General features: G+C 41.8%; 1 protein-coding gene across 17 annotated transcripts in view, besides 2 other annotated features; it reads left to right on the forward strand.

Moving 5' to 3' along the window:
- DOCK8 (dedicator of cytokinesis 8) overlaps positions 1-14540 on the forward strand; it is a 253999-nt gene that overhangs the window by 59579 nt on the left and 179880 nt on the right. For 5 of the 17 annotated variants that reach the window (XM_017015173.2, XM_047423927.1, XM_011518045.4 and 2 more), the window contains exon 2: positions 792-894. The exons of 2 other annotated variants lie outside the window; for them this stretch is intronic. Coding sequence is in view for 6 of the 15 variants with exons in the window: in NM_203447.4 (NP_982272.2) it covers positions 792-894 (103 nt within the window). In the remaining 9 variants the exon portion in view is untranslated. Of the gene's footprint in view, positions 1-791; positions 895-2210; positions 2266-9955; positions 10071-14438; positions 14478-14540 lie in introns of those variants that run through there. 10 more of the 17 variants (NM_001193536.2, XM_047423935.1, NM_001190458.2 and 7 more) reach the window with 5 other exon arrangements.
- Positions 10895-11154: an enhancer, noted in NCBI's record as "active region_28115". NCBI's record gives its function as "activates an Ori minimal core promoter by ATAC-STARR-seq in GM12878 lymphoblastoid cells {active_cell/tissue: GM12878}" and the evidence as "EXISTENCE:reporter gene assay evidence [ECO:0000049][PMID:35858748]".
- Positions 11325-11374: an enhancer, noted in NCBI's record as "active region_28116". NCBI's record gives its function as "activates an Ori minimal core promoter by ATAC-STARR-seq in GM12878 lymphoblastoid cells {active_cell/tissue: GM12878}" and the evidence as "EXISTENCE:reporter gene assay evidence [ECO:0000049][PMID:35858748]".

The raw sequence follows: 14540 nt of genomic DNA on the forward strand, positions 1-14540 counted from the left end.
ACTAGCCTGAGAATCCAACCACCAACACAATGATGTAATGAGAAAACGTGCTCTGAGTTCCAAACAAATGGCTAACAGATAAGTGCTCAGAAGTCAACCTTTTTGTAAGCTGGGGTATCACTGGCCAGCAGTCACATGCCAGCAGGTGTGAGTAGACAGTGGGGAACAATTTCCTCTCATGTGTATGGCTCCCTAAAGTGTTGGCTGAGCATTGTCCACATGGGTGATGCAAAGGATCACTGAACTAGGAGCAGTTGGGAAAAAATACAATCATTGGGAATTCCTGTAGCATCGAAGGTGCCTACAGGGAGGTAGAAGTATTCATACAACAGTTCTCTGGTGTTCTCTGTTGTAGCAACCAGTCAGCCAAAAGGGTTCAGCTGCTTGAAATGAGAATGGCTGGATCAAAATGGCAGCTCAGGATTTAAAGGATTCTAGTCAGATACCAGACATCCTCACATAGAGAAAACTCTGAATGGCTGGGGGAGAAGGAGTCAAATGCCCTGGATCTTTTTCTTGGGCCTCAAAGTCCTCCTTCTGTCATCATCCTTCCAGTATTGGGCAGGACCTGACTGCAGGCATCATGGCCTCTGTGAACTTCTCAAGGGTATGTATTATCTGACAAAAACTACGATGTCCACTAACAGGCCACTGAAAAGGTATCTTAGTCAGTTCTGCTCATTGCCCAGCCAAGGCCTACGTTTTATAACATGATATCAAAGATTGCATCTAAAATTGTGATGATTTCCTAAAATAATCATTTCATTTAGATTTTTCTATTTTAATCCAAGGTATTCTTCAGCGGAAATAAGGAAACAGTTTACTCTCCCACCAAACCTTGGCCAGTACCATCGACAGAGCATAAGTACCTCTGGCTTCCCCTCTCTTCAACTAGTAAGTATGAGTTCCAGGTTTACTTAGCGATTGGTCAAGTGCAAAAGTGCCCAGGGTATGTGTTTGCCTCCTGTTCCTTAGATCTTCCTACCATCACCTCACATTCTCCAGTCACCAGATCCTAACTCTGTGACTGTGTCTGGACATCAGACAATATCCCTCTCTCTCTCTGCCAACCGGTACTTAGGGTACATAATAGAACCTCTGGGAGCTGTGGTTTTGATGTCTCTAGACTAGGTGGGCTTCCAGGTGACTCAGTCTCATCCAAATTATGGTTCATATTTGGGGGAGAAGGGCTAGCCCAAAAACTTACCACCATTTGTAGTATGCATTTTTTTGGAAAAGCATATTCCAAAATCTGAAATGCCAAGTTACAGACCTCCTTTTTGTAAAATAATTTTCTTGCTAGTATAATTTACATATAATAAAATTCACACATTTTAGGTGTACAATTTGGTGAACTTGGGCAACTTAGAGTCACTTAACCTTTCCTCAGTCAAGATATAGAACACTTCTTTTATCCTAAAGCGTTCCCCAGCGCGCTTTTACAATCTCCTCTCCCCAGGCCACACCCTCCAACTCACGCAATCTCTGACTCACTTCTGTCACCATAATTTTGCTCTATCTGGAGCTTCATATCCTGTTACAGTATGTACAAACCTTCTTTTTTTGAGACAGGGTGTCAGTCTGTCACCCAGCCTGGAGTACAGAGGTGTGATCTCAGCTCACTGCAACCTCAACCTCCCAGGATCAGATGATTCTCCTCCCACCTCATCCTCCCAAGTAGCCGGGACTACAGGCGCATGCCACCACACCTGGCTAATTTTTGTACTTTTTGTAGAGACAGGGGTCTCGCTATGTTGCCCAGGCTGGTCTTGAACTCCTGGGCTCAAGCGATCCTCCTGCCTCAGCCTCCCAAAGTGCTGGGATTACAGTGAGCCACTGCACCTGGCCCTAAACCTTCATTTTTAAAACACATTTCCTCTTAAATTGAAGATTGCCTACATTTTTATATCAATGCCAATTGTTGAGTGTGCCTATATGTGTTATATTATTTGAGCACTAAATGCCAGATGTGTGCCAAGTGAGATAAATCTGACAAATGAGATGGTTTGTAAAACCAGCAGTGAATATTCACTTCCTCTGTGAGAGAGCTCCAGCCCTCCTGTACTCACTTCCTCACACAGCACAGCAGCACTCTTGCTGGTTCTGCTGCTTATCTTGAAGAGGTTAGGTTACTTTTTGTTTCTACTTATTACTTCGAAACCACTTCTGCCTTAGAAATTTTGTAACCTTCCGCTCAGTTTCCGGTAACCGCCATTTTGTCTCCTGTAACAATTTACGCGCCGTGTAACTGTGAATCTTTCAAAGGTATGTTTTACTGGAGTGATTTCTGGTTATTTCAGAAGGATAATTTGTGTGTTGCGTCATTAATGAAATAGTAGTACGAAAAACCTATAGCATCTTTTACTGCAGGAGGTAACTTTCCATGCCATTTTTTCAGAAAATCTACTTATGACTTCAGTGGCTTGCTAGACTGGCCTTTTTATTTGTACTTTTCCTGTGTTTCAGAATTGCAGAGTATAATAAAGGCATGTCAAGTGCATATTGTGTCCATTTTCAGGTATATTAGATAAGCTTTACACCAAGATAAATTAGATATGCTTATTGGTTTAATTTGTGCTAATATATATTTAATTGAAAAATCAAAAAAATTTTTTTAAATTGACTGAAGTTGTATTCCAAAACATGCAAAATTTAGTTTAAAATAGATTGGATACACTTTTAAATTTTAAACAAGGTAGAGGGTTTAGTGCTTTGCTTTTTTAAAAAGTAAATGAAGGCTGCAGCTTTCTGCAGTAGTTGTCTTGGGAAGTAGTGTGGACATCACTCCTAAGAGACGTTAAGGAAGTTTAGCTAACAGGCTTTAACCCTTTCTCTCCATACCAGCTTTTACTCTTTTTTTTTTTTTTTTGAGATGGAGTTTAGCTCTTGTCACGCAGGCTGGAGTGCAATGGCACCATCTCGGCTCATCGCAACCTCTGCCTCCTAGTTCAAGCAATTCTCCTGTAGTTCAAGCAATTCTCCTGCCTCAGCCTCCCGAGTAGCTGGGATTACAGGCATGCACCATCACATCTGGCTAATTTTGTATTTTGAGTAGAGACGGGGTTTCTCCATGTTGGTAGGGCTGGTCTCTAACTCCTGACCTCAGGTGATCCGCCCGCCTAGGCCTCCCAAAGTGCTGGGATTACGAGCATGAGCCACCATGCCCGGCCACCAGCTTTTACTTTAATGCCACAGCCTTAAATTTTCTTTCAGGAGAAATTATTTTATGTAAAGTTACAAAGGAAAATAATGCTTAATATCTGTAAGCATTCGTTTGGTAAGTTTGCTGCCTCCTCAGTAAGTTTTGATGAAAGTGAATTTTGATGAATTACTACCTTAGCCGGGTAGTGACGTTAACATGTGGCTTAGCTGTCCATTTTCTAAGATATCAAGAAACCAGCAACAATAAGTAAAATTGTTAAATTATGCAAGAATCACATGTTCCTACCTGTCATCATTTAGTCTTGGTTCTATTTGCATGTGAATATCCTTTAGAATATATTACTCCCAGTTATTCCGCTTTACTTTTCTGAATCTCTTTTCCCATCTCTTGACTTCAACTTCAGTATATGGCTCTTGTTCCTTCTACCTGGAGAACGGAGGCATGTGGAAGCCCAGAGGATTGAATTCTTTTTTTTTTCTTTTCTTTCTTTTCTTTTTTTTTTTTTAGATGAATAGTCTGCTTAGGAAATCCATCTCCATAATGTTTACCTGGTATCGTGTTGTAATGTCAGAATGAAGTGGCTGTTCTTCCCCTTGAGTCATCGTCCCGAATGAAGGTTCCCCAAAAGAAATCATCAACTTATGTGGTGATTTCCTTTTACCTTTAAAAAAAAATTTCTTTTCATGGAAAGATAATGGAACATGTCGGTAAGATTCATTTCTAGGAAGGCAAAGGAGTAGTTTATCATCTAAAGACTCTCAACCTAAAGCTGTTTTAGAAAACTTTCCTTAAAATGAGAAGCCGTAGGTTTTCGTTGCATTATTTTGGCTAATTGAAAAATAAGACCAAGTGCGTTCTGACCTTCGTTTCTCTTACCTTTATTTTTACAACCACCATTTCAATGGCCCACTTGCTGATACAAATGATTGTTTAATTTTAAAAAGCATTTAATTGAAGTCAAGTTATTTAGAACCTAATCATTTACACGTCTTTGTTGTTGCTGCTGTTTTGCAAGAGTGAAGAGCTTGGAGTCAGGTGAATCTGGGATGAGGTACAGTTGTCATTTATTAGTCATGTAATTTGTGACAAGCCACTTAATCTCTCTGAAGACTTCAGTTTCTTCATTTGTAAAATTGGCATAATAATGCTGTCCCTAGTAGGGAATATAGAATTATATAATGGGTCCTTTGTATATATTGGCTAGTATTGCTCTCTTACGATTTGGCACTATGGAGACACTGTGGGAGATTAAAAGAAGATGATGAATAAAAGGTGACTTCAGCTCTGAAGGGCTTTATGATCCATTTGGGAGAACAGGTAATGTAGAATATACTGGCTTCAAAAGTGGCAGGTGTTTAGAAGAGAAAAGGATACATGATGTGATAGGAGGCAAAGGCTTGATTGAGAAGGCTGAGAAGACTTAGAGTAAGGGTTCTCAGCCCTGACTGGACATTAAAATTATCTAGGGACAATTCAATCAGAATTCCTGGGGGTGGGGACCAAGCATCAGTATTTTAAAGTTCCCTGGGGACTTTAACTTGAAGCCCAGGTTGAGAATCATTTAAACAGCTCTGTTATTTATTTATTTAAAATTTTAATGTATTTTTTGAGATGGAGTCTCGCTCTGTCACCCAGGCTGGAGTGCAGTGGCGCAATCTTGGCTCACTGCAACTCCTGCCTCCCAGGTCCAAGCTATTCTCCTGCCTCAGCCTCCCCAGTAGCTAGGAATACAGGCGTGCACCACCACAACTGGCTAATTTTTGTACTTTTAGTAGAGACAGGGTTTCACCATGTTGGCCAGGCTGGTCACAAACTCCTGACCTCAAGTGATCCACCCACCTCGGCCTCCCAAAGTGCTGGGATTACAGGCATGAGCCACTGGGCCCGGCCTAGTTTTACTTTTTTTTTTTGTAATGGAATTTCCCTCTGTCACCCAGGCTGGAGTGCAGTGATGTGATTTCTGCTCTCTGCAACCTCTGCCTCCTGCGTTCAAGTGATTCTCCTGACTTAGCATCCTGAGTAGCTGGGATTACAGGCAGCTGCCGCCATGTCTGGCTAATTTTTGTATTTTTAGTAAAGACGGGGTTTCGCCATGTTGGCCAGGCTGGTCTTGAACTTCTGACCTCAGGTGATCCGCCCGCCTCGGCCTCCCAAAGTGCTGGGATTACAGGCTTGAGCCACTGCGCTCGGCCCATTTAAAAAAACTTTAAAGGTAGACGTATTCCAAATGGGGGGAATATATAAAGAAAGGTAACACTTATTTTGCCCTGTGTGCTTTGAATTTCAGAAGGTGTAGTAAGCAAAGACCACTTACTAACCCTACAGATATATCCTTAGAAAATACAGTGGTTTCTGTCATAAATCTGATAAATCAGATGAGAGGAAGGGTGTATGTTTGATGTTGATTTTTCTTTTTGTTTTATTGGGGTTTTTAAAAACTATAAATATCAGGTCTGATGACTATGTGTATAAACATTTTCTAAGTAGATAAAATATTTTCAAATTTTGCATTTTTTAGTATGAAGGGGATCCATCATTTGAAGTTGGTTTTCTAGATGTGATGATAAACTTGTCCCAGGTCTATTTGACACTCCTACCAAAATCCTTTGTGACCAGGGCTAGAAGGCAGCTGTGGCTAGTAAATAACCCTGTGTGTAGACTCACTTATTGGCTTTGGCATTCTCTATTGCCACAGCTGTGTGAATAGATTAACCAGAGACCCTCTGGTGCCAGCCACCTATTCAGGCAAACAAGTCTATAATCAGTACCTCTGTTAAAATGAAACTGTAATATACTATTGTCTTTTCATTTATTTATTTATTTATTTAGAGACAGGGCCTTGCTCTGTCGCCCAGGCTGGAGTGCAGTGGTACAATCTTGGCTCACTACAACCTCCGCCTCCCAGGCTCAAGCGATTCTCCTGCCTCAGCCTCCCAAGTAACTGGGACCACAGGCGCACCATTGCGCCTGGCTAATTTTTGTATTTTTTTTGTAGAGACGGAGTTTCTCCATGTTGTCCAGGCTGGTCTTGAACTCCTGAGCTTCAGTGATCTGCCTGCCTTGGCCTCCCAAAGTGCTGGGATTACAGGTATGAGTCATTACACCCGGCCTATTTTCTGATTGTTCAAAGTAGAAGCCAGGCACAATGGCTCATGGCTGTATGTAATCCCAACAATTTGGGAGGCAGAGGCAGGAGGATAGCTTGAAGCCAAGAGTTCGAGGCCAGCCTAGGCAACATAGTGAGAACTCATCTCTACAACAAAGTTAAAAAGAAAAATTAGCCAGGCATGGTGGCACATGCCTTTAGTCCCAGCTACTTGCGAGGCTGAGGCAGAAGGATCACTTGAACTCAGGAGTTGGAGGCTGCAGTGAGCCATGATTGAGCCACAGTACTCTAGCCTGGGCAACAGAGTGAGACCCTGTCTCAGAAAAGAAAAGAGAAGAGAGGAGAAGAGAAAGAGAGAAGAGAAGAGAAGAGAAGAGAAGAGAAGACATACAAAAGAAGAGTAACATACAAGAGAAGAGTTAGGAGACCCTGTCTCAGAGGAAAGGAGGGGAGGGGAGGCGAGAGGACAAGAGAAGAAAGAGTTAGGATCTATGCCCTAAGGAAGTAAGGAGGATTTGAGACTGTGTAGGTGGTTAATAACCTTAAGCTACATATTTTATGGAGGGAAAAATCCTATTTTTAAAAGTGAGAATAGAACAATTTTGAAGTGAAATGGAATGAATTAGCTGGACCATAACGGCTCTGACTGAAGAAAAGGATGTAAAAAGCCACATCCTGGATATGTACCAAACACCATGGTTACATGGCATGTTTGTATATGTAACATTTATTTAAAAAAAAAGTCTCATAGCTTAGAAGGCATTTATTTTTGTTATGTGTATAGGCTTCTGTGCAATAAAGCAGCCTTTTTTATTTTACAGCTCATGATGACTTAAATGGTTAATTGCCTGATAAATATGGTCCTCTTTTATTCTTCTGATTCTGTTGTTCTTTTGCACTTCATCTTTCAAGGGGTTGGGCTATTCTTAGGTTTCACTGATTGCACTGGAAGGGACATGACGGAAAATGAAGATCTCAAGATAATTTTCTTGCAAATTCACAATGGAAGATAAAAGGAAAGAGTGGCAGGCATTCTGCACACAGAGCAGACGTTTCTTTATTGTCATTGTTCAGCAGAGGAATCAACTCAGCCTTGGTGAAACTAGAGTGATGCCCATGGTGGCATGTCAGCATCTCCCTCTTAGTGGCATCAGTGCTAGATTGTTGTTGTTGGAAGCAGGAGAGTGTTTAGTCCATAAAGTACAGAACTTCGATATCACAGAAGCTAGAAGAACTTTACTGCCTTCAGCTTCGTTTAAAGATAGTAGAGAGCTTACTCATTCGTTTTAGAAATATGTATTGGGTCTCTATGTCAGGAACTGCTGGCACAGCAGTGAGATTGAAGATACAACAGTGAATACAATAGAGGGCCTATCCTCATAGAGTTTGCCTTTCAGAATGAGGGACAGACGCAGACAAATAGAAAATGTCGATTGTGTCAGGGAGTATTGAGGGCTTTGAAGAATGAAATCGTGACCCAGAAGAGATGCTTTTAGATTGGATCATCCGTGAAGGCCTCTATCTAGAAAGGAGACACTTGGGCAGAATTCTGAATGAACTTGACGGACATCTGAAGGAAAAATATTCCAGTCAGAAGGAACAGTACGTGCAAAGTCCCCAAAACTTCAATAAGTGACGTGCTCCAGAAGCAGCAAGGAAGCAGAATGAGGCCTGAACAGAGTGGGCAGTAGGAAATGCAGTCATAGAGAAAGCAGGGCTGGGTCACAGGCCTCAGAGACTGTAGAACATTGGCTCCTACTCTAAGACAGGAAGCTGCTGTGAGCATTGAGGTTGGGCGTGGAACCATTTGACTTTTTATGAGGATCACTCTGGCTGCAGTGTGGAAAATAGACTGGACGAGGGAGGGCAGTTAGGAAGATGTCACGGTAACTCAGGAAAGCAATACCGGTGCTTTGGACGAGGGTGGTGGCAGAAGAGAAAGTGAGAAGTATTCTGGATATATTTCAGAAGAAAGTGGATAGGATTTTCTGATGGGTGATATGTAGAGTGTAGGAGAAAGAGAAGAAGCAAGATTGACTTTAATGTTTTCCACCTGGGCAATTGGTGGACTGGAATTGCCACTTGCAGAAGTGTGGAGGTATGGAAGGTATGGGAAGAGCAGATTGCCAGGAAAGTTGAGTTAGTTTTGAACTCATTGTGTTTGAGAGGTCTGTTAAATTATCAAGTAGTGATGTTGAGGTGTAATTGGAAAAGTCAACCTGGAATTTATGGCAGAAGTTGAGGCTGCAGATATAAACTTGTAATTTTAAAAATGTATATTTAAAGCCATGGGAGTGAATGAGTTCATTTGAGATTGAATGCAGATTGAGAAGAGATTTAGAATTGAACTCCAGGGCACTGCATAGCAGGAGGAAAACCTAGTAAAAGTGGTATCTGTAAAATAGAGGAACGAACTGTCACAATTTGCCTGGTACTGAGGATTTTCTCAGTACATGAGACTTTAAGAGACTGGGACACCCTGAGACAATTGGTTGCCTTCCATGGGAAGAAAGTATGTCAAGAGGGAGAGAGTGAACAACTGTGTCCAATAAACCAGGACTGAGCAAAAACCATTGAATTTGGCATCATGAAGTCTTAGGTGACTTTGACAAGGCTTGTCTGTTGTGAACAGCCAAGTAAATGTGAGGACCACTCTCCAAAAGGTAAAGAAACATGCATGAGGATACAGGTGCGCCAGCTGGAGACATCATGCCTCTTCCCCGTCCCCACCAGGAGTGGCGTGAAGCCTCCCCAGTGCTGTAACGAGGCAGCCAGGTCCTGTGTGACTGCACATGTGACTTGGGGCAAGTCATTTAACCTCTCTGTTTTCACTATCCTATTTGTGAAATATTGTTTAGATTTGTGGTTTGAGTCAGCTATCTGTATACTACACTGTGTTAGGAGCTATGTAGATTAATTTTCAACAGATATGGTTCTGGGGTTGTAGGAATTTTCAATTTGAGAACAAATTGAATCTTACCCTTTGTCAGGAGAAATAGCCTTTGACATGTGTTAGGGGCAAGGGAAATCTCAAACTTGCTTAATTTTAAAAATGAATATTTGGTTGTGGATAATTTAAGCTTTGGTGATATTTCTAATTATTTTTTGTGTGTTTCTAGTCTACTGACCAGAAGTCTGAAAAAAACAACTAAAAAGAAAGACTGCATAAGCCTTCACTAGAGAAGTATTGAAAATTGCTTGAGGGAAGTGACGGTTTCTTTAGCCTAGTGTCTGTAGGACCCCAGTGTAGTGTTTGTTGAATGAATGAAAGGAGGCGTATCAGTCAGGTTCACTCAGAGAAACAGAAGCTGTAGGAAATCCATATGGATGTGTGTGAAGGTATTGGCTTGCCTACTGCTGGTGTGTGGCTAAGCGAGCTTAAAAGTCCGCAGGGCAGATAGTCAGGAAGGAAATATTCCCAACAGACTGAGCTCCCTTGGGCACAAGCTGAAGCCTGGAGTCTGAACTGCCAGAGAGCCTCTACCTTCTTAGAAAAGGCTTCCCACTGGCTAAGTCAGGCCCACCCAGGGGAATCTCTCCTTTGATTAACTTAAAGTCACCTGTTTAGGGACTTTAATTACATTGGCAATAGTCCCTTCACAGAAGCACCTAAATGACTGATGATGTAACTGAAAAAATGTGTGTGTATGCTACAAAATGGCTGCAGTCTCCCTTCTGTCCTCCAGCTCTTGCAGGAGAACTCTCTTGTAGCTCACCCTGTCTGAAAACATACTGGAAAGGAATTCAAGGAAATGTAGTTCAGCCTAGCCACGTTGACACATCATGAAGCCGTCACAAAAGGTAAAGCCTGGTTTAGGAGCATTTGCATTTGCAGTCTTAAGTATTTTTGTCTTATTTTTCAAAAGGGGTTGGGCACGGTGGCTCACGCCTGTAATCCCAATACTTTGGGAGGCCGAGGTGAGTAGATCACTTGAGGCCAGGAGTTTGAGACCAGCCAGGCCAACGTAGTGGAACCCCGTCTCCACTAAAATGACAACAATTAGCCAGGCGTGGTGGCGCATGCCTGTAATCCCAGCTATTCAGGAGGCTGAGGCACAAGAATTTCTTGAACCCAGGAGGTGGAGGTTGCAGTGAGCCGAGATCCCGCCACTGCAGTCCAGCAACGGAGTGAGACTCTGTCTCAAAAAAAAAAAAAGTAGTTTTGGTTTTTAATTTTTGATTTTTTCTTATGTTATTACATATAACGAATGATATGCATACTCTGAAAAATCATGACATAAAGGTGACCTTGAAATTACTTTGATGTTCATTTAAACTAGTCTTTGGTCTCCACTGGCTAGGAGACCACATATAGCAGAACAGCAGAGAAAGCAAAACAGTTAATTTTCATGTTTGGCTTTTGAGCTTCCAGGGACCCAAGTCTTGCCTTGAACCGATCTTAGGAAATTCCTCATTCCCTACCCGACCCTGTTTCTAAACTGCATCCCTGCTGAAATGCAATGCCACTGTAACTCTCTCCAATATTTGTTTTCTTCTTTGGCTTACCACTAGATGTATGTATATATGTTTGTGTGCCTGTGTGTGTGTGTGTGTGTGTGTGTTGACTGCCTCATAGTAAAGCCTACTCTTGAGATTAAGACTCCTGATAGTTTAGAGAACAGAAATCTTTTTTAGTTCCTGGTTATTACTTGAATTTGCAAGAGGAACAACTGCTAGGAGGCCTAGTTAACAGTAGTTAGGGTCTCCACCCACTTGCCAAGGGCAAGACTAGTTTACACCACATTTGGAATGACCAGTTTCCTCCCACTTTAGTTTCAGTGTAGAAAGAGTAGGGGAGACGAACTATTCAATGTCAGCTTGGGTGTAGTGCCAGAACCGTACTCAGTAATGCTGTCATTGCTGTTGGTGCTTACCAGCTCTTCAGTACTGGAATAGCTTCAGACCTCGAGAGTTTATGACTTTATCATCAACTGGGTGTGTTGCCCTTGGCACATTGCCACACAGTGCTTAATGATGATATATGTTCTTTATCAAATTCCCCCCACCAAATAATGGCATTATTTACGTGTGAGAAAGTTGCACATTTCACCACCTCATGGTTTATTAGAGTGCAATTCCGTGAGAACAACTGCCTGTGATCCTCTGTATCCCCAGTGGCCAACTCAGGAGCTCAGTATGCCCTACCCAGTAGATGCTCAGAACATCATTGCTGAGTGAGGAAGTCAGCCATCATTTTCTCCCTGGATAGTCTCTCCTGTAGATAACAGGGGCCGTTATCAGCCAGGTTTTTCATCATTTGTGGCTTTGAATTTCAGGGACATGACAAGTTTGCTTTTTGTTTCGTTTTGTTTTTTTTTTTTTTTTGGTTTTCTAGAGACAGGGTCTTCCTGTCACTCAGGCTGGAGTGCAGTGATGTGATCACAGCTCACTGCAGCCTCGAACTCCTGGGCTCAGTGTTTCTCCCATCTCAGCCTTTGGAGTAGCCAGCAGTATAGGTGGTGTACCACCACACCCATCTAACTTTAAAAAAAAAAAAATTGTAAAGACAGAGTCTCACTTTTTTGCCCAGGCTGGTCTCATACTCCTGGCTCAAGCAATCCTCCTGCGTTGGCCTCCCGAAGTGCTGGGACTGCAGGTGTGAGCCACCTTGCCTATCCAACATGACAAGTATTATTCTCTGGCAGGAAGTGAAATTTTTTCTCACTGATGATTGCACACAAATGTCATATCTCCATGAGGCTTCTACTCACTAGTTTTACGGCTCATGTCACCTTGCTTCAAACTATGCTTCAGTATAATTTTGAAGTGTATATTTCCATTGCCTCTCCTTGAGTAATTGATATTCTTCACAATAAGTTTACATTTATTATCACTTTTATTTACTTACTATTATTACTCTGAGCAGCCAATCTTATGAGAAGCTCAGAGTGGAACGTGTGGGTCCTGGTAAATATATTATTTGACTCACTTCCAAACACACTTAATATTGCCTGGTGTTTTGATTATTTCAAAATATACAGATTTCTTGAAAGGCCTGCAAAAGGAAACAATCAAAATTATAGCGGTTAAGAATGTGAGTCTGCCTTGGTTTGAATTCCAGATGGGCCAGTCCCTAGCTGTGTAATCATGGGAAAATTATTAAATCTCTAGCCTCGCTTTCTTCATCTGTAAAATGAGCATACAGGCTGAGCATCCCTAGTCCGAAAATGCAAAATTCAAAATGCTCCAAAATCTGAAACTTTTTTTGTGCCTCCATGACGCCACAAGTGGAAAATTCCACACCTGACCTCACGTGATAGGTCACAGTCAAAACATTGTTTCATACACACAATACTTTTTTTTATTTGTATAAGTTTAAGTGGTACAAGTGCAGTTTTGCTACATGAATATACTGCATAGTGGTAAAGTCTGGACTTTTAGTGTCTCCATCACCCAAATAGCATCCATTGTATTCATTCAGGAATCTAGCATCCCTCACCCCCTCCCATCTTCCCACCTCTCCAAGCCTTTCATGTCTAGCATTCTGTGTCCATGTGTACACATTATTTAGCTCCCACTTCTAAATGAAAACATGTGATATCTGTCTTTCTGTTTCTGAGTTTTTTCACTTAAGATAATGGCCTCCAGTTCCATCCACGTTGCTGCAAGAGACATGATTTCATTCTTTGTTATGACTGAATAGAATTATTCAGGCACAAAATTATTAAAAATATTGTTTAAAATTACCTTCAGGCTATGTGTATAAGGTGTATATGAAACATAAATGAATTTAATGTTTACATTTGGGTTCCATCCCGTGGATGTCTCATTTTGTATATGTAAATATGACATGATATGAAAAATTCAAAACTCTGAAACACCAATTGAACTCAATTTGCAGTAAGAATGCATACCTCACAGGGTTATAGTGAGGATTGAATGAGACAATCCTAGTCCAATTTCTTTGCACATAGTAATGCTCAATAATTATTACTTAAATGGGTATAAACTTTATAGTAATGAGGTTGGGGCTGGAAAAAATGCAGTTTCATAATTTCCTATAGAAGTCATTCAATCCTGACTCTAAACTCTGTATTCCATGTGGTGGTTGGGTGGCGTGGGAGAGTCCTCTTTATCCTGTGGGGTTGGTCCTATGGAGGTGTCTGTGGCAGATTGGCAGATGCATTTGTCTTGTGCATAGATGGTGTCTGTTGTTTCCTCTGGCAGAGTTCACCAGTGTCCTAATGCAAACTTAGTCCTCATCTGGCTCCTGCACAGGCTGATCTCTGGCTCCTTTAGCCCCTCATGGTTCCTGTTGTTTCATTTTCAGAGGGACCCTTGTAAGGACTATAGTCCTCTCTTCAGCTGACCTTCAGGTCCCCAGTCAGAACCAAGGGAACCGACTCTGTCCCTTCTCATAGCACCTGAAAACCCCGGGAAACGAGGGGAATGCTTTGCTCTCAGCTACTGAGGTTGTCCTGTCACCTTCTCTTCTGCCCTCCTTTGCCATGGCATAGGATAATGTAAGTCAGCAATCTCATTACTCGGTATATAGCCAGAGGAATATAAATCATTCTACCATAAAGACACACGCGTGTGAATGTTTATTGCAACACTATTCACAATAGCAAAGACATGGAATCAACTTAAATGCCCATCAATGACAGATTGGATGCAGAAAATGTGGTACATATACACCATGGAATACTATGCAGCCATAAAAATAATGAGATCATGCCTTTTGTGGGAACATGGATGGAACTGGAGGCTATTATCCTTTGCAAACTAACGCAGAAATAGAAAACCAAATGCTGCATGTTCTCACTTATAAGTGGGAGCTAAATGATGAGAACTTACCAACACAAAGAAAAGAACAACAGACACTGTGGCCTACTTGTGGGTGAAGGGTGGTAAGAGGGAGAGGAGCAGAAAAGATAACTATGTGGTCCTGGGCTTAATACCTGGGTGATAAAATAATTGTACAACAAACCCCCATGACATGACTTTAGCTATGTAACAAACCTTCACATGTACCCCCAAACCTAAAAGTTAAAAAAAAAATCCCAGACAGGAAGTAGGGCATATTTTGCCTAATTTGCAGCTTCATCCTCACTCCCTAACTTACGCCACTCATGTCTCCTCCATCATCAGGGACAGCAAGAGTGGGGAGGGGACGAGGCCTGCCACATCTCCATTCTCTGATCTTATTTCCTCTTGCCTCTTCAACAGCGCTTTGTCTCTCCTCTCCAGCTTGAAGCCCTTACTCTGGTATGTGATTTCAAAGCGATGAAAAACTGGTTTCGTTAGTACTTCCCTTGGATCTGCCCTTGT

This window comes from Homo sapiens, chromosome 9, assembly GCF_000001405.40.
Source record: "Homo sapiens chromosome 9, GRCh38.p14 Primary Assembly".
Taxonomy (NCBI): Eukaryota; Metazoa; Chordata; class Mammalia; order Primates; family Hominidae; genus Homo; species Homo sapiens.